Source organism: Homo sapiens, chromosome 8 (assembly GCF_000001405.40).
Source record: "Homo sapiens chromosome 8, GRCh38.p14 Primary Assembly".
Classification (NCBI taxonomy): Eukaryota; Metazoa; Chordata; class Mammalia; order Primates; family Hominidae; genus Homo; species Homo sapiens.
The window spans coordinates 48,578,035-48,596,885 of record NC_000008.11 but is presented as its reverse complement, the minus strand read 5'-3'; the positions used below and the strand labels follow the sequence as shown (position 1 = coordinate 48,596,885).

General features: G+C 47.7%; 2 long non-coding RNA genes across 2 annotated transcripts in view, besides 3 other annotated features; one reads left to right on the top strand and one right to left on the bottom strand.

Moving 5' to 3' along the window:
• The window catches only part of LOC101929268 (uncharacterized), a 146,944-nt gene that overhangs the window by 101,625 nt on the left and 26,468 nt on the right, over positions 1-18,851 (bottom strand). The gene's annotated exons all lie outside the window — the stretch shown is intronic.
• LOC124901943 (uncharacterized) lies at positions 1,576-3,961 on the top strand. The gene is made up of 3 exons (XR_007060909.1): positions 1,576-2,831; positions 3,452-3,605; positions 3,873-3,961. It is a non-coding gene; the product is annotated as an uncharacterized LOC124901943 (long non-coding RNA).
• Positions 6,017-7,216: an enhancer, noted in NCBI's record as "BRD4-independent group 4 enhancer chr8:49502230-49503429 (GRCh37/hg19 assembly coordinates)". NCBI's record gives its function as "activates an origin of replication core promoter dependent on BRD2, P300/CBP, MED14 and CDK7 cofactors, and independent of BRD4, by STARR-seq in HCT116 cells {active_cell/tissue: HCT116}" and the evidence as "EXISTENCE:reporter gene assay evidence [ECO:0000049][PMID:35650434]".
• Positions 6,443-6,737: an enhancer, noted in NCBI's record as "tiled region #14341; HepG2 Activating non-DNase unmatched - State 23:Low, and K562 Activating non-DNase unmatched - State 24:Quies". NCBI's record gives its function as "activates a minimal TATA promoter and a strong SV40 promoter by Sharpr-MPRA in HepG2 and K562 cells {active_cell/tissue: HepG2 | K562}" and the evidence as "EXISTENCE:reporter gene assay evidence [ECO:0000049][PMID:27701403]".
• Positions 13,712-15,296: an enhancer, noted in NCBI's record as "VISTA enhancer hs1431". NCBI's record gives its function as "enhancer in: limb[7/7] | branchial arch[7/7] | facial mesenchyme[7/7]" and the evidence as "EXISTENCE:transgenic organism evidence [ECO:0001131][PMID:17130149]".

Genomic DNA, 18,851 nt, shown 5'->3' with positions numbered 1-18,851 from the left:
GCTGGCATCATCTCCCACTCTTCCTCTGGCTGGTCCTTCCCCCTGATGTTATTTTTAATGGTCCTGTGTATTGTTGTGGAGGTCACCTCACATGTTTTCCTAGTGTAGTGAGAATACTAACCAAAGGCTGAAAAGAAATCAAATGCAATGCCAGTTGAAAGACCTGAGACAGACACACAGGGAATGCCTAGGTGCCTGACAGGGAGAGAAGCTCTCAGTGTGCCATGGACCACGTGGATGCTTATCAAGGAGACCTGCTAACCCAGCTAAGAGATAGTGGCCCAGCAGGTCTCAGAGGAAAGGACCCTTCTGGCCCCAGGTGGCTTGGGGTCCCTCATCAGCACTCCCGTCACACCTCACAACCAGGGCCACCACACCAGGAATTCGTGTGCAGATTGTGTCTTGTGTCTGTCTTGAAGGCATCTAAAGGCACTTGGAACTATACCTTTTGTCTCCCCAACACTAACAAAATCTGTGGCATGTTGTAAATACTTGGTGAATGAATTCCTAAAAGTTTGAATCTGGACCTTCAAGGGAAGACAATATATGGCTATGCAGTATTCAGAGGATAACCAGGCAGGAAGATCATCAAGGTCTAGAAACACACCAAGAAGAGAGACTACGGCATTTCAGTGCAGGCCAGGGGTGGCACTGGTCAAAGGCACATGTGGAACTGTGTCAGGCTGAATAGATGAGCCGGCACCCAGCCAAGAAGCACCACTTCCGCCACGCCTCCTCTGGAAATGGCACCCTACTTCATTCAGGTGACAAAATATGGCCCTCACACTCGAATACTGACCGTCACTCAAGGCACCTCTGTCCAGTTCTTCCAAATCCAGAACAGTTTCAGCGATAGCAGACAAATCCACACATAACATGTTATGTTTGATTATTCAGAGATGATCATTTAAACAATGATGTCACTGCTATCAATGTAAGGCATCCGGTGGAGATGCCTGTCTTAGACACCCCTAAATTTGACCAACCTTGACTTCCAATTTGCCCGAGGGCATGGAGGACATTTGAGACAGCATGCCCAAAAAATCAAAGTGAAATGTCCTCCACTATTATTCCAGGAACTTCTTCTGAAGCACCACTTGGGAAATGCAGTCTCCTCCAAGGACAGCACTCACGCTGGTGTCAGCCACATACTCCAGCTGTACCCGGGTTGAGGACCAGTGCAGACCCTCTCCCCTGCATGCCACATTCAGAAAGCAGAGGAGGCCTTGTGTAAGGTATGACTACAAAATAACACAACTCTCAGAATCACTACAGATACAGCAGCATCCAAAGTCCTCATCCCCCACGTTTTAAATTCTCAAAATAACCACTTAAAATTTTGAAATTGGCTGGGCATGGTGGCTTATGCCTGTAATCCCAGCACTTTGGGAGGCCAAGGCAGGTAGATCATGAGATCAAGAGATCGAGACCATCCTGGCCAACATGGTGAAACCCTGTCTCTACTAAAAATACAAAAATTAGCTGGATGTGGTGGCGTGCCCCTGTAGTCCCAGTTACTCGGAGGCTGAGGCAGAATAGCTTGAACCCAGGAGGCAGAGGTTGCAGTGAGCCAACGTCGCACTACTGCACTCCAGTCTGGTGACAGAGCGAGATTCCACCTCAAAAAAAAAAATGCAATGAACACATGTCATCCTGCCCAAGCCAAAAGAAAGATGGGAGCTATTTTCTCAGCTGGTAGCATAATTGTATTATTCGCAGAGGCACACTGAAGACTCAGTGTCAGCTCGGTGCAGTTAGAAAGAACGCTGACGGTGGCAAAGCTAAATGGTCTTTGTCAGGCATTCTCCAGCATTCAAACGGGTAATATTCCATAGCGTCTTTCACTAAGTCAGTTCATGCAGGGAGGCAGAAGCAGGAGGCAGCGCTCTCAAAGTCACAGGCTCCAAGTGAGCCATGCTGAAGTTTAGTTTCATGGTCGAGGTTGCCAACTAGTAACTTTTATTCATACAATTTTCAAGTTAAAATCTTTATTTCCAGCTAGGCGCGGTGGCTCATGCCTGTAATCCCAGCACTTTGGGAGGCCGAGGCAGGCAGATCACGAGGTCAGGAGATCAAGACCATCCTGGCTAACGCGGTGAATCCCCATCTCTACTAAAAATACAAAAACAAAAAATTAGCCAGGTGTGGTGGCAGGCACCTGTAGTCCCAGCTACTCGGGAGGCTGAGGCAGGAGAATGGTGTGAACCCGGGAGGCGGAGGTTGCAGTGAGCCGAGATTGTGCCACTGCACTCCAGCTTGGGCCACAGAGCAAGGCTCCATCTCAAAAAAAAAAAAAAAATCCTCACTTCCACACTTTCCCACGGTGCCCTGGGATCTTGGCTATTTGCTCAAGCATTTGAAAACATTTCTTTTTTAATTTCTTGAAAGCTTAAGTTCACAAAGAAACTTGTACATGAATGCTCATGGAAGCTTCATTTGTAATGGTCGAAAATGGGGGACAAGGCAGCCGTCCTTCGACGATGACTGATTAAACAGTGGTGTGTCCACACCAGGAACACGGCTCAGCTATGGAAAGGAACGGGCTCTGATACACACAGCAACGTGAATGGGTCTCAAGGGCATTTTACTGAGTGCAAAAATGCCTTGTGAGGTTACTGTGTGGTTTTGTTTATGTAACAGTCTCAAAGGATAAAATTATAGAGACGGAGAGCAGATTAATGGTTCCAGGAGCAAGGAAGACAGGAACCCTCGTGTGGAGCTGTTCTGCCTCTTGACTGTCAAGGTGGCCATCCTACTCTACAGCAGTGATACAGTTACGGAAAATAAATGCACACAAATGAACTGAGACTGGAGGAACCCCAGTGACACTGGTGAGTGTATGCATTTATACACTGGTTGAGATACTGTAATATAGTGCTACGTTTGCAGATGTTATGACGGAGAAAACTGGGTAAAAGGCACAGAAGATCATGCTATATTATATCTGACCACTACATGTGAATCTTCAGTTATCTCAAAATTAAAAGTTTAACAACAAATTCTTTGGGGAAAATGTTTGACTTGGAATTCACCCCCACATGTGGCCCTCCTTCCTATGGAGTTGCCATCCTCTCTGTTTTTGTTAGAATTGCCTATTAATGTTTAATCAGTCAAGAGTGTCCAACTGCAGGCCGGCCTGACTCCACCATGGGCTTGGCCAGCAGTCCTGAGCCAGCACCCTCCGCTCCAAGGCTCCCTCTGCCTGATGTGAAAGCTGAATGCCCACCTTCTCCACACCCAGCCCACTGTGCTGGTGAGCTAGGATATACTGGTCAGCACCCGTGAGTGTGCAGATTTTTATTTATGGGTATGGATTTATTTTCATATGTTAATAAAGGCTTTCTATTTTATTCAAATGCTTAAGAGACTTTTTGTTTTCAGATAAATTGATTCTTATTAATAGAAGAATTATATCAATATTACTTATTTACTTCCTCATTTCTCCCAATAGTTTTTATGCCTCCAGAGTACATCGTATACAACAGATGCTCAATGATGGTTCAGTTGAATTCCATTAAATCAAGGATGCAGTGGAGACACCTCAGTAAAGGCAGAGACACGCTTACCAGAATGGGGCTGCACACCCTGTGCTTCTTTCGAGCCTGGTCAGTCTATGCATCACTAAAAATATGTCCTGGTGAAATCTGTATCTGCAGCCCAAACTTCCCCCTGGACACCAGATCCACATGTCCAGCTGGCCACTCAGCATTTCACGTGGATGTCCACAGACATCTCCAACGCGGCCACTTCAAATGGAGTCCGCATCCCCTGAGCCTGCTCCCCTCCCACCTGACTCAGCAGCACCCCCATCCAAGTTGCTCAAGCCCCGAACCTCAGAGCCATCCTTGATTCCTTTTCTTCTTGTATTCCAGGTCCATTCCATCAGCAAATCCTGTTGATGATTATCTCCAGAAAATATCCATAATTGCACTGCTTCCCACCATGCCTACCAACATCCCCGGGGCAGGACCCTAGCATGGCTCCCACATCTCACAGCAAGCCCTGGTGGCTGCTGGGGAGATGGCCCAGCCTGGCCAGGCTTCAGTCGTCTTCTCCCACAGGGACAGAGCTGTGACCAGCAGCCAGCATGGAGACTTGGCATCCTAGCCCAAGCGTGGCAAGCTTAGGCTTAGGCTTAAGCTCAAGCTTAGCTTGAGGGCCACCTCTTGCCCCGCTGGGCACCCTGAGCCACCTGTGAAGGGCTGCGTGGACTACACTTCTGGTGGTGCCAAGCTCTCAGGACAGTCACCCCATCCACCCAGCAAATGGCCGGTCACTCTCCAGGAGCAGAGCCACCCAGCTGGCCAGTCCTCCCTGAGGGGGCAGCCCATCCCAGAGCAGCAGGACTGCCCTGCCCCCACCCGCACATGTTGCTGATCCCCAGAATCCAGGGGGAAACAAATGTGTTGCTGTATGTCACAGGGGAGCAGGAACTTGACAGCCTTCCCCTTCCAGGTCTGCCCCGACGGTCCACTCTAGACCCAGCTGACAGGGGACCATCATGGGGTAGAAGAGGTCAGAGGGCCAGGGCCGGTGTGCAGAGGAGGCCACCCTACACTGCAGCTTTCACTCTCAGTGACATCCGCTTCTGTGGGAGGGGGTTCAGAAGATAAGGGACAGGGCTCACCGAGGTTTTAAAATGATGGCTGTGTTGAGTAGACTGGGCTTGCTAGCTCCTAGCACCCTCTCACCACAGGGCCTTTGCACAGATGGTTTCCTGTCTCCAGAACACTCTGCCCTCAGAGATGTGCACCTCACACCCTCTCCCACCATTTCTTCAATGTCACCCCTACAGAGAGGCCTATCCTGGCCACCTTGTTTTAAATGGGGGCCCTTCCGGCTCCTCCCCTACTTCCTCACCCTGTTTCCTAAGCTCTGATGACTTCTAACGTCTTATGAAAATCGCTGATCGATCATGCTGATTGCAGATCTCTCCCTGCCTCAAGAATGTGAGGTCCATTCAGGCAAGGGTCAGCCTGCTCGATGACAAATCTTGAGGTCTCGCTCAGATGACAGCAGCATGTGAGAGGCTCTCAGAGTCCTGACGCTGCCTGGGTGATAAAATGTATTAGTCAGCAGGCACAAGTTGTTCTTAAGTCTTTAACTGCAACAGAGCTCTCAGCGTTGTCATCGTCCTGGTTATGCAATCTTGGTGACCACTGCTGATGAAGCAGGTGGACCTGGGCGGGAGCCGGAACCCTCCGTGCCCCCCGGATGACCCATGGCCATGCTCCCCAGTCTCCTTCCCTGGACTTTGCCACTTGCAAACCCACCATAGTGTCAGGACACAGGGCAGCCGATGCAGACGGGACCCCTCAGGAAACCACAGCCAGGAGCAGCTGATGGGGCAGCTCAGCAGGTAGGGCAGGTGCAGGCCATGGACAGTCAGCAAGGGCCTGCAGGGAGCCTGCAGAGCCCGAAAGCACCTCCCAACTCTGCAGAGCAGCAGCTCGCAGCCTCTTCTAAACACCGTGCACAGTTCTGCAGTTCTTGGCCCTTGTCTCATATTATGTTGCTGAAAAATAGAAGGAAAATTCTGCAGGGTCTGACGCTGACCCTGAACAGGATGCATGGGGGTAGGTCTTGCACAGCGGCCTGTGTGGAAGGGTCGAGTCATAAGAGGGTCATGCACTCAAAATAACGAGATGGATGTCGCCTGGAGGAGAGTCCCTTCCTGCCTACATTCACAGAGGCCATCCTTTGCTGTCTGTGATGGGCATATTCAAATCAACATAAAAATAAACGGCAAAGAATGTAGGTTTCTCAGCCAAACTGCTCCATACAAACACAAATATTTTGTGGATATAAGGATGCTTCATTTACTCTCAATGGGATCATTTCACTCTCCATCCTTGCACATTCAAATTCATATGCCCTCACTTCAGGTATAAGAAGTAGTCCTTATAAAGTAAGCTTAAATAGTCAGAGGCTAGGAGAGAGATATCTGGGGAAGGGACTCTGAAAGAGAACATGAAAGAGGATTTGTTTTGAAGGCAGGACACAGCACTTGTGGAAAGGAGCCCTGGCCATAGAAAAGACCCCCTGGGATGAATGTGTCATAGAGTGAGCAGAGCTCCTCATGACAGGTACCCTGTAAGGAGAGGAGGGTATGCATTTTGGGGACCAGTCTGAAGCCCACACAGCCTGGGTCCAGCCACTGAAGCCCTCTCCAGCTCAGCTTCCTCACCTGCAGCTGAGACAAACAATAGAAACCCCGTGTGGTGCTGGTGGAGGATTCAATGGGCTCACTCAGGTACAGTCCGATCTTAGCTGCTCTCGTCATGGTTAGATCTAGCATCTTGCCATGGCTAGATACTAGCACAATGCCTGGACCCATTCCTTGGCTCCTTGAATGCTCCTCCTGGGGTCAGAAGTCAGGGCAGGCAGAGCACATGCCAGACAGGCTCAGACAACACCAGCTTGGGAATCAAAGCAAGAAGCACAATAATTCCCCCTTCCGTTGTGTTCAATAGTGAACGTGGGCTAGGGTGCCCCTTGGGAATTCTCCATATGACCTCATGGGTACATGCCGTCAACTTCAACGTTTGTCATCATGACTCAACAGAGGCTTTCTGTGATTCATTCCATGTGCTGGAGGCAGGGAGTCAGTGTGGGCTCCTAGGGAAAAACAGCTATCCCTGCTTTTGGATACCCCATCAAACCCATGTTGCTGTGTGACCTTGGGCAGCACAGCTAACCTTCCAGTGCTGAGTCATCTCTGTGGTTAAAAGCGGCGCCATAATCAAGAACAGATGCAATCATGGGTCTAAGCCATCCTAAAGGAGTAAATCACACACACCATGCTATGCTCTCAGTTCCCTCTACTTCAATAGTGATGTTTTGGGAACTTCTCAACTGGCCACAAGTTTATATAACCTCTCCTCTGCCAATTCTAATAGAGAAAAATGCTTGAGGTTTTAGAGAGCAGTTATGTTCACATAAAAACAACATCAAATTCTGCATTGTAATATGTGAAATAAATCCTGGCCAATTTTCATCACTAATGATGATAGAAGGAAATACTATTTGAAAGAAGGCTATTCTGTACCTATAATTGCAAACAGTCTAGTCATTGTTAGGGGGACCAAGTACAGATAATCTCCAAGGAAAGTTAAGCAGCATCATTTTTTCTGGTTGATTTCCTCATTCATTAGCAGTTATTGAACTTTAAGTCCAATTTCTAGACTCCATGCCCTGTTGGTTCCCCAGTCCTACAAAGCCCATTAATTCAGGCACTCACCAAATGGTGATTAGTATGGCTAGGTGACAAGCACTTGTTTATGCATTAGGCACGCAGTCATGAGCCCAGCAGGCTGAAACCACTCAGAGCTTGCACAGTCAGCTGGTGAAAGAGATGGAGAAGTGTTACAACAGCAAGTCCCATGGTGGCGCAAACACAGGATTCCATCAGAACCCATGGGAGCAACCCAATCTCAGGGCCCAGTGTTCTCAGAACAAGCAATACATCAGTAGGAACAGTATTTCAAGCAGAGGGAACAACAAATGTAAACCCACAGAGTAAATGAGAGCATGGTGTGTTTAGGGAAGCACACAGGGTGTGAAGGTGTGTGGTGAGAACGACGGGCAGAGAGTTCAACCAAGCTCAGAATCTTGGGCTTTATCTGCAAGGTAGTGGGAGCCATTGATACAGGTGTGGGAAAACCATGATGTGTGGCATCCAGGAAACCAAGGGAAGAGGAGTTATAAAGGAGGGAGATATCTACTGCCCACAGCCACAGGGAGGCCAAGAGGGAGAAGAAGGGTGGTGATGGTAAGTAACTCCGGCTGTGATAATGAACCTTAAAGTACCAGTGACTCGACACAATGAAAACTTGCTTTTCACTTGCACAAAGTCTTCTGTAGACATCCCTGCTGAGTCGCAGTCATCCACATGGTCACTCAGGGACCGTGCATCTTCCATCCAGTGGCTTGGCCTCCCCCAGCTCCTCTCCACTGGGCCAGCATATGGGGAAGGGATTAAGAGATGGAGGCGTTTATGGACTGGACCTAGACATGGCATGCATCCTTCTACCTATATCCCATTAGCCATAACTCAGTCACATGGCCACAAGCAAGACAGGCAGTATCACCTAGCTGTGTGCCTGTGATGGAAAAGGAAACAGATTTTGGTTAACCTTTACAATTTCTGCCATAAGGACTGATAAGAAAGATCCTTTCCATGTAGCAACAAAAGGTGGTTATTGACTGTATCAGTTTTATTGCTGCCCAACAAACCACACCAAAAATGTTGTGATTTGAAAAATCAATGATGTACTGTTTGTCATGGGCTATGGATTGGCCAGGAAGCTCTACTGATCTGGAAAGGGCTCAGCTGGTGTCCTCCAGCTTCATTCATGAGTTGGTACTTTGTGTAGGTCAGCTGGGGCTTGACAGTTGAGAGTGGCTGGGCTCCACAAAAACTCATTCTCCAGAGTGTTAGCCCAGACACTTCTCATAGCAGTGGTAGAGTTCCAAAATAAAGACAGGATGCATGCAAGACCTCTTGGGGACTAGCCTTGGAACCAGCACATTCTATCACATTCTATTGGCCAAAGCAAGTCACTAGACTATGCAGCCCCAGAGACTGGAGAAATAGATCAGCCTCAAATGGGAAAATTGCAAAGTCATATTGCAAATGGTATGGATATCTTTGCAGGGAAGAAGGGAGAATTGGGGTTATTTTTGCTATCCATCTCCCAGAGAGACAGTGGCCAGAGTGCTGTGTGTGGAATGAGGTGTGGGCTCTGAGTGGAAGCTCTGAGCTAGGATGGGAACCTGAACAAGCTGCAGTCACGGCTAAGATCACTGCTTGGAATAACCACCTTGTAGAGAATGGGAGGGGAAGGCAAAATAAAAGAACAGAGGTTGAAAGAGAAAGAAAACGCAAAGTGAGAGCAGTAGAGATGATACACCGGAAAAATTTGCACAGTTTAGAAGCAAAAAAATGAAAAAGTAAAAACAAAAACAGAAGTACCATTGTGGCCACTACTCCACAGACGTCCAAACAGAAATAAACTATGATTGGCCTGGTAAAAGAGGGATACAGAAGAACAGAATAGAAATACCTATACATGCATACACCCAATAAGTAAGGTTGCTGTGAGCCTGCTGTTCAGTCCAGTATTTCTGTGCAGTCGGGGACAGCCTTAGTAAGAGAACATCTGGAATAGACAGGACCATTCTGATTTCAACAAAGCTGTATTGAGCATCGCTACAGGAGTAGTCAATGTGCCCCTGTTCACTTGAGGGGCCCCTGCATTCCAGGCAGCTTGTTAGACGCTAGAGCACCTGTCCCTGAAGACAGGGACTATACCCTGCCCTCGGAAGCCCACAATCCTTGTCACTCCCTACCTCTACAAACCAGAAAAGAAGGAAAGGTGTGAGCAGCATTGTGATTGTCCAGCGTCCTCACAGCCCCCACCAGGGTTGTTTCAAACGTTCCCCTTTGGATAACTTGGACTCACCAGCCTTTCTGATGTTGCCCATGGGCCAAAGGTATGCACAGGGCCCATGTCCTGGTGGCTATGAATGGGGCTCCCATGAGCCACAGCCCTCATATCCTGAGAGATGGGGAGGCCTCCAGCCCTCGAGTTCTCCAGGCTCCCCATGCTAATCTGAATGTTTCTAAAGCAATGTACCTGAGGTAGGCCTTAAGCTCTTAGTAAGAACTGGCATAGGCCGGGCACAGTGGCTCAAACCTGTAATCCCAGCACTTTGGGAGGCCGAGGCAGGCAGATCACCTGAGGTCAGGAGTTCAAAACCAGCCTGGCCAACATGGTGAAACCCCGTCTCTACCAAAAATACAAAAATTAGCCGGGCATAGTGGTGCGCGTCTGTAATCCCAGATACTCAGGAGGCTGAGGTAGGAGAATCGCTCGAACCTGGGAGGTGGGGCTTGCAGTGAGCCAAGATCGCACCACTGCACTCCAGCCTGGGTGACAGAGCGAGACTCCATCTCAGAGAAAAAAAAAAAAAAAAACTGAAACAGGCTCTACCTTCTTTTGGTAGACCTCTGTACCAGAAGCACTGGGGCCCTGGGCTCTCTGACCTCTTAGTCAATGCACTCCTTTTCCTTGGAGCAGCACCACCATGGCGGTATCTTCTTGATGCTGGTGGGTGACACTCTATGCTCTGAATCGCCCATGCTTGATATGCTAAGGAATTTAGAAAATGTGTTTGTGTGTGCGTGCGTGCGTGTGTGTGTGTGTGTGTTGTCTCTCCTCTCTCTCTCTGCAAAGTTTTGCTTTCCAGCACATTAAGTTGCCAAACCATAAGTGGATGTGAATTTCAAAATGAGAAATCTTTGTTGTTCAGTAGATACCTGCCCTTTTCCAGTAGAACCAAAACCAGAAGTCTGTAGGACACAAGATGAAGATGATATAACAATATGTCTGCAAGTATCACCCCCATTGCAAAATTCCAGTTCCTATTATCACCACTAGTAGCAGCATAATGCTGCTTCCCAATAATAGTAATAATGACAAATATGTTTACGTGGCAAAGCCTCCTTCGAGCGGAACAGTAGGAGATAGAAAGAACATTATTTGATTACTATCCCTCCAGCTTAGACTTGGACTTTCTGATATTTTTGCTATATTTCTCAATTTCTCAAAGCAAAAAATATTGCCGGCCATTCATTCATTCGGCACATTTTTACTGAATGCCTACAATTCACCAGCCAATATGCTAGGAACCAGGTGTATAGTGGCGAAGGAGGCAGACATGATGCACGTTATCTAGAAGGGCAGACAGGCAGAGGGACCGTCACACAGACAGCCCTCTCGGCATTCCCTACGTAGCTCTTCCACCATGGCACCACAGGTTTATGGAGCATTTCCTACAGAAGCCCTAATGGAGCACGCCATGCTCACACAAGCATCGCTAGCACCACATGCGAGTCTTATGTGGGCTTGAGCCCAGTCTCATCCATTGCTTATCTGTAGCTGCAGGAGTCTGAACTGCTGTGAACAACTGCAAAGGTCCAAGAACTACTCACTCCTCTGAAAAAGAGGCGAGCAATCATTGGAACTAACCCACAGAGGGCCTAGTCCTACATTTCCCTTAAAAATCATCCTCCATTAAAGGATCTGGTCATCAAACAGCCAGTAGAGTCCACACAGCAGCACCAGGGGGCTGGAAATGCTCCTGACTCTGCTTCCCTCCAACATCTCCCCAGAAACAAGATTGGAGCAGGGATAAAATGTCCAGTCTTTAGATGGGGGTTCGAGGTCACGAATTTTAGAATTTTAATCCAAGCTACATAGCTGCACATTTCTGGAAAGAGAGAATACCTCAAAGCTACTTTCCTCTATAGCTCCATTCTCCAGGAGAGAAAACCTAAAAGCTGTGCTCTTCCATTCAGCAAATAGTTCCCCATTAGCTACTGACTACCCAATGAGAAAGTCACAAAGATGATCATTTTGTAAAGTCTTCCTTGGGCCAAACATTGAAGCAAAATGTTATTGTAACAACACATTATGTAGAAATGAAATTTCAAGAAGTAATCAAATAAAAAAATAATTCTCTAGACAATATCTAGGTTTTGTTTTGCTTTGAAGTTTTGGTTTTCAACTTTTAATTTTTGTATATGGAGGGAGAGCAAAGATTTAATCTTACCAATCAAATTAGGAAAAACCCAAAAGGTAGCAAACAGATAGGAACAGAGGAGGCAGCGGTTAGCAATGAATCTGTCCAGAGAGGAAAACGTAAGGGCTCCCTAAAGAGAGCCCATGGGGAAGGAGAAGAAAGCAAATCTCTGATAATGGAGATGAATGCTTTGAACTAAGAGTAGGCCGTGGTGTTCTTAATCACAAAAGATCATTTTTAAGCACCATGTGAATAGATGTTGTTTTGAGAAGATTCAAGAGAAGGCCAAACTAGACAACACTTCAGCCATTAGCTGAAGGATGAAACTCCAGTCTGTAAGGTGGCTGCCCAGAGATTCAGGGAGCTCCTGGATGCTGATATTTGCATTTACGTCTCTCAGAAGGAGCAAAACACTTTACAGAAATGCCGTTAATGTTCATGAAAACCCCGTGAGGAGCTACAGGCACAGAAGGAAACTGTGTTAACCACTGTGAGGGAGATGCGTCGAGGCTGGGGCCTTACCCAGGCAGCTCAGTTTCCAGCTCCTGATCATATGCAAACCCAAGTACATTCTGAATATCTGAGAGAATGTACAGAGTCTTATATAAAGTAAACTAGATCTGGCTTGGTTTTTGTTTTATGGCGCTTTTTTGTTTTATTTTAATAAGTTTGAAATTTAGTAATGGAGTCCTTTAAAGCATAAATCTTTTCTCTCAGGTGGAAGTACAGCCCAGTCCATTCACATCTCTACCAGCTCCAGGTCTGAAAATGGACAATACTTAAGATGACGCCTTGAAGACAAAACTGACAAGATGCGTTTTCAATTTGTGTCTTTTAATCTAAAGATGATGATTATGTTGCACATTGAGAGAGGCTGTTTCTTTTTTAATTTAGGTGGTTTGAAAAACTGAAGTAGACTAAATGAGTCTGAGTGTAATTAAAGTTATAAGCACAGAGAAAAATAAGAAGTTTTATTAACTGTGGAAGGAATGTGGGTCTTTAGCTGCCCAGCCAGTTCACAAAGACAAAGGAGATCCGTTTGCAGGGTTAAATAAACACAATACTTTATATTACAGTTCAAATGCATCCATTTGCAACAAGACTCAAAGGGAAAAATTGGTTTACCAGACTCAGCCTCTCCAGGGACAGCAATGAGCCCTGTGCGGAGCTGCAGCCACCGGGCAACAAGCACCACCCAGGTGCAGCTCCCACTGCCGTGCCCTGTGGGCTGTGCCCCAAACCTCTGCAGGCCTTGCTGGTTATTTTTTCACCTTGATGCATATTATACACTTGGCCGTCCTACACGTTGTTGGGTTGGATTTTAGTAACCAGTCTGTCAGAAACATGGAGCTGAAAAATGTGTTTAGGCAAAAAGGAAAGCTCACGGGAAGGCAACGTGGAGAACAGCATGTAGGGAAGAGGCCAGTCAGGCGAGGACTGGGCAGGGAAGGGCGGGAGGACGAGTGTCGGTTGATGGCACCGCTTTCCACGGATTAATTCTTCTTAAAGATCTAAGCAGATGCACTCGGGGCCAATGTTCCCGGCTGAAATCAGCAGCTCTGTGCATCTGAAGCAGGACAAGAGGCCAGGGAGAGGCCGCCGGGCCTGAGCCCCAGGAGCCAAGAAGACCTGCACAGTCAACTTCCCTCTTCAAGTATCATTTGGCCAACGAGGAGCTTGTTAATTGGTGCCAATTATTGGTTTGCCAGCAACTCCCACAGATTAATATTTCAGGAGTTAGAAACCCAGCTGAGCGTGAAAACAGCATCGACTCGGAGCTAAGAATCACATTTCAAAACTGCAGGGAAAAAAGCGAGCGAAAGAGATTGTTTCTTGAGAAAAGAGGAAGAGACTCATTCATCTCACAAATACTCAGGACTCTGAAAGCCTGAATCAGCTCCCCAGACACAGAAACATGGCATGCGTCTACACAGATTAGATTGTACGCTCTGCAAGTATAGGAATGTCCCCCCATGGCCCAAGAATCTCAGCTTTTCTCCAGCAAAACGGGACACGCTTAAACTTCCTTTGGTTAAAAAGTGCTCTTCAAGAATGTGTTTCTGAAACTAATAAAATGACTTGAAACTCTACAATGCATTCCTTACAAGGTGAGAGAGAACTTCATTCACCAGAGTCCACTTGCTCGCTGCTCAAAGCGAAGGCACAGGCAGGAATGACTTCCTTCCCCCTACCCCCCACCCCGTATGTTTTGTTGCCTGAGGGGGTCCCAGGAAGGGCACCCTGTGAGGCTGAGGCCGCAGGGGAGTGTGGAGCCTGGCTGCCATCACACCATCTTCAGCAAACAGCCCAGGCCCCTCTCCTGGTCCTCACACCCCAGGAGGGCTGGCCGTCCCCAGTTCCCAGCAGGGCCCAGACCTCACCAGACTCCTCCCTGACTCTCCCAGACCCACAAGGGCCCCCAAAACCACCGTCCTGGGGATCCCCACCCTTCCCCCTGGCTCACCCCATCCCTGGCTCCCACCCGGACCCCGCCCAGACCCAGATATCCCCAGACTCTTTCCCAGTCCCTCAGCTCCAGCCCAGACCCAGGCTTCCCTCGCCCCCCTACCACCCAATCCCCATTCACCGCCGCTCCTCCCAAATCCATCCCAACTTCCTCCCCCACCGGCCTCCCACCCCTGGCTCCCGCTCGCCCCCCTCTGTGGCGCCCCCTCCCTCCCCTCCCCGGAGCGCTCCCCGCCTGCCTATCATCTTGCTCTAATTGTTTCCAGATTCGTGTGGGAGGTCAGGGCCCGGGAGTGCTGCTTCATGCCAAGTTTATAAACAGAGCAGTGTTTCCAGATGGCCGCTGGCTCCAGCCTGGCGAGCAGGTTGATTGGGACCAGAATAACAACAGGTGGAGAGCAGACAATGAGTTCCTTGACACTTAGTTACTCCCTGGGCTTTTTCTTCCCCTTCCAGCCCTGCCTCCATCTGCCTTAGCCACCACCAGCGGGTTTCCAAAGTGCTCAAATGAGCAGGGGGGCGGTGGAATGCAAGAGAAAGCAACCCATGTCCCTCGCAAGGGTGGCAAGGAGCGCCTGGCGAGGCTGCATCCCCAGGCTGAGAGGGGAGCCTGGACTGCGGGGACCGCCCAGCTGGGAAGGGGCTGTGTTCTGTTAGCAAAAGACCCACGTGGCGCCAAGGGGAAGAAGACACGGAGGGCCCCTCGCCTGGACCTCGAGTCCTGCCGGGAGCCGGCAGGAGCCCCGGCACAGAACATGGAGCGGTTCCTGGTGAAGCAAAGATTCCAGGAAGTGTCTAATGGTTCTCTGAACTGGCATTGGCCAAGAGGCCCAAATCCCATTAAGACAGCCCAGGGGTTGAAGTAGAAGCAAATCCGCTAGAGCATCTGCATCCGTCCAAACAGGCCCGCGGAGCCCGCCCTGCAGACCTCGCTCCCACAGCCTCATCCCAGCCAGCTCGGGGCGGGCTGGGCGCCTGAGGAAGAACAGCCCCCGGCCAACCGCTTTATGAAGTGCAACGAAGGGTTTCAGTAAACAGCAGCAGAGGCACCAGATGCCTCTAGTTAAACATGGAATTGTACAGCAAGCCCTGCACTGATTGAGAAACCGCCCCACAGACGCACACAGGCGGGAGTAAATTACAAGTCACCCTGTCCTGTCCGGCGAGCTGTCCCAAGCGCCCGGAGCCCGGGCTGGCGACAGCAGAGCCCCTGGCAGCGCGCCTGTGAGATCATGCACAGCCCGGGCAGGGCAGCCTCCATGGGGATGATGCAGCCGCCCAGGGCCACGCCGGCCCTGCGCTGGGAAGGATGACCATGGCACCGTCCTTCAAACCACTGACCTACAAAAAGACGGGCAGAAGATAGTGCCTGTGAAAATAAAGCATATAAATATCAAAAGTATGTATGAAGGGCCTTCCAGTTAAGGCTAGATTATCTCTGTGAGTCCTTTGAATCTGAGTTTCTACTTATAAAATGTAACCGGACACTCTGGCTTTGAAGACTGGGGATCCGGGACCAGGGCTGTGCGATTTATCCGAACTAACAGAGCCGTTACAGCCTGGGCACTGGACTCCTCCCCCGGCTCGCCCATCCAGGATCCCTGACTCACTGCAATCCACGGTATCCCTGCATTTTAAAACACATTGTGTTTAAAGTGTGTCACTGATGTGTGTGTTTCAGCAAAATGCAGGCTATCTAACCTGCTGGCCTAAACGGTTACACTTAGTCGGTGCAGCATCTTTTCATAGAAATAATATAAATTCATATTTGTTTAATTGTCTTCTCTGTTCTCTACACAGCATTCAATTATGGAGGTTTGATGAGAAGCTCCATGTATTATATAAGGAATTCTTAAGAAAAACAAATCATGCCTTAAAGAGCAACAAAATGAGTGTTAGGGAATAAATTCATGACTGGGGCAATGAATGGGGAGCCTGTGCAGAGGACTGAGTGTTCCGCGGAATCAGCTCAGGTTCCAGCCCCAGAAAGTCACCTAGTGAAGTCAGCTCCCCTGAGAGGATGTTTACCTCTAGAGAAGCATCTGTGGACAACGCGCTGGAAATTTCCTGGAGAGATATCATTGCTGATGACAGGTGCCCTGTGCAAACATTGTAGCTCCCACCATACTCAGAAATATAAGAACTGCATTTGTCATAACAAATGAGTCCTGGCACAGAATCACTCACGCACTTGGGAACAAGCTCTCCCCAGAAATGAAGTGCCAACAGCTGAAGAGATTCCACTAGCCGCTGCCCCCGCTCATTTAAGTGCCTGGTGACATTACCCTGCGGCTGCAGAAGCCACCGCACAGTCCTCCATCATGGCCATGCCTGTCATGCAGAATAACTTTTTTCCACTTGTGACTGACCATGAAATTTTGTTCCCAACCACAAAGCACTGAGACACACCATTGTGGCATCCACTGAGTCTACCGGAACAGGGACACAAAATTTGTTCCTACAAACTGCAAATGCCAGGTTAAAGGAAAAGAGACTTTTATAGCATAAATGCTTAACGCTCCCCTCTCCACACTTAGTGGAGAGTGGAATTTGTCTTGGCTCTCTGATCTACACAATTACAAATACATAGCCAAAAAACTGATCTAATGCTAACACTTGGAGAGTCAAAATGTTACCAATGGCACAGCATTTCCTGATTTCATTGATAAATGAAAACAGAATTTTAGGACTAGAAGTGTGGAATCATATGGGAGCTCTGGCTTTACCATGTGCCAATTTTCGAATTCCCTTTGAAGGTCAAGATGCAAAACCTAAAACATAGGAAAAGAAACATTTTCATCAGAGAATTTTATTTTTTAATTTGGAATTCATTGCACCTTTGCAAATATAAACCAAAGAATTTCAGCAAACACAATGCATTTGTTGTTTTATATACTGGTGCGCTTAGGCAGAAAAATGAGTCAGTAAAGAGGGGATGCTGAGATCAAGGTGTACGGAGGGCATTAAATCACGGGTATTTACTAGCAGTGCTATCCTACAAAGCATGCATAAACGCTTTCTGAACATAAACTTGTTTAGAAGCTAGCACACTTCTCTTCATGTTAACCAACCAAGCTATCCTTTATGTAACACATAAATCACTTCTAACCAGAATTAAAGGATTTTTCCCCCTTAAACTTGGCAAGCAACTGAAAAGACCAGTGTGGAGAAGATAAGAAATGCCATTTGCCATCCTGAAAGAGCACAAGTAAGCCATCCATGGTGACTTCACCCAAATTCTCCCCCAATGGAGTATTTGTTAGGGCCAACTTTAGATTTTAGGGATGCAAAGTCAGAGATTTCAAAATGTAGATGATAAGTACATGGTTTGTAACACTTTTTTCTCGAAGTTAGCCCCTCCCAGCCATCCCATCCTTTCCTGCTGCTTTGCCAAAAGCCCATCCCCATTCATGCAATGTTCTCACAGACAGAAGTCAGCACTGGCCACACCCTCCACTGGCCACTGTAGCTGGCACTGAGTCCACCATCAGCCCTGCCCATGTGGGTGCAGCCAGCGCATAAAAATAGGAGGCATTACTAGAACCAGGTTTGCAATCTTGTGTGCCTTCTCCCCTAACTCAGAACACAACTACCAGAAGAACAGACAACCTCTCTCCGAACCAGTCTTAATCTAGTTAGGAACTCCAATTAACGCGAGTTGGTGTTCCCTGCATAAGGAAACAAAGCAATTATGGGCCTCATGCTATGCCTAAGAAAATGGCAAAGCTCATCAAATTGATACTCCCAATACAGCCAAATTGGCTGGTTTACCCAAACAAACCCTACATGGCAGTTTTGGGGTCGCTGGCCAGACTGTTTCAGCATTGCTTCTTTGTAAATGACTTTTACTCTAACTGTAATTTCAGGTATTTTGTTCAGAACCAGAGTTTCTCTTTTATTTTACCCTCCAAATACTCTTCGATGGCAGCACGGGTAAATTTGCAGCATGTTTCAAAGCTTTAATTGGGGCAGTGAAAGTGGAATTGCAACTGAAGAGTGACATTCATTAACATGCAGTACTTTCAGCTTGTGCCCAAAAAGGCTGGGGAGCTGAGACAAGGCCTTCAGTAAACACCCATCTGACAATGACTAGAACAATCACAGAGAGATCCAGATATACCTGAATGAGCCTCGTAAATTAATAAACCATATTTGCAGGCTTCTGATTCAGCAACCTTAAGCTACATACACCTTTTAATGTTACTCAGTTATGCTGCCTTTGAGGCAACTATGGGATGTTAAAAGCAGCAGAGAAGATGGCTCTGATGTCACGCATTTGCTGATAAAACAGATGTGGCTCTCAACAACATACCTCTTGTGTGCTATTCATTTAACTCAATTTAAAGTTTTGAGGATGACAGTGCATTACAAGGTTAGTGCAGGATCTCTGTTGTTTAACATTGTAAACTAAGGATGTGGCCAGACACTAAATCTAATCTACTGGGGAGAGTTAACATCTTTACTCTGCAAGCAAAGCAAACAGGCCCTTGTTCACAAGGGCTCTGACCATACAGAGAAAGAGTGACACCCACCGCAGCTGACCTGGGCTTTCTCTGACCCGGAGTTTCTGTCTGTCACTATCAGAGGTTTGGCCATTTACTCAAATTAGTAAGGATGTATTCATGATTATAAAGAACTTGTAAGTTCTGAATAAAAGAATCTATCAACTGTCATTTTGTTTTACTGTGAATTCATTTTACAACAAAAAAAGATTTCCTGAAACCTGAAATGAAGGCTCTTACTCCATAGAATTGCTGAAGAATGGCCTGCATCAGCAGAGGGCAATGATTACCTGGAGA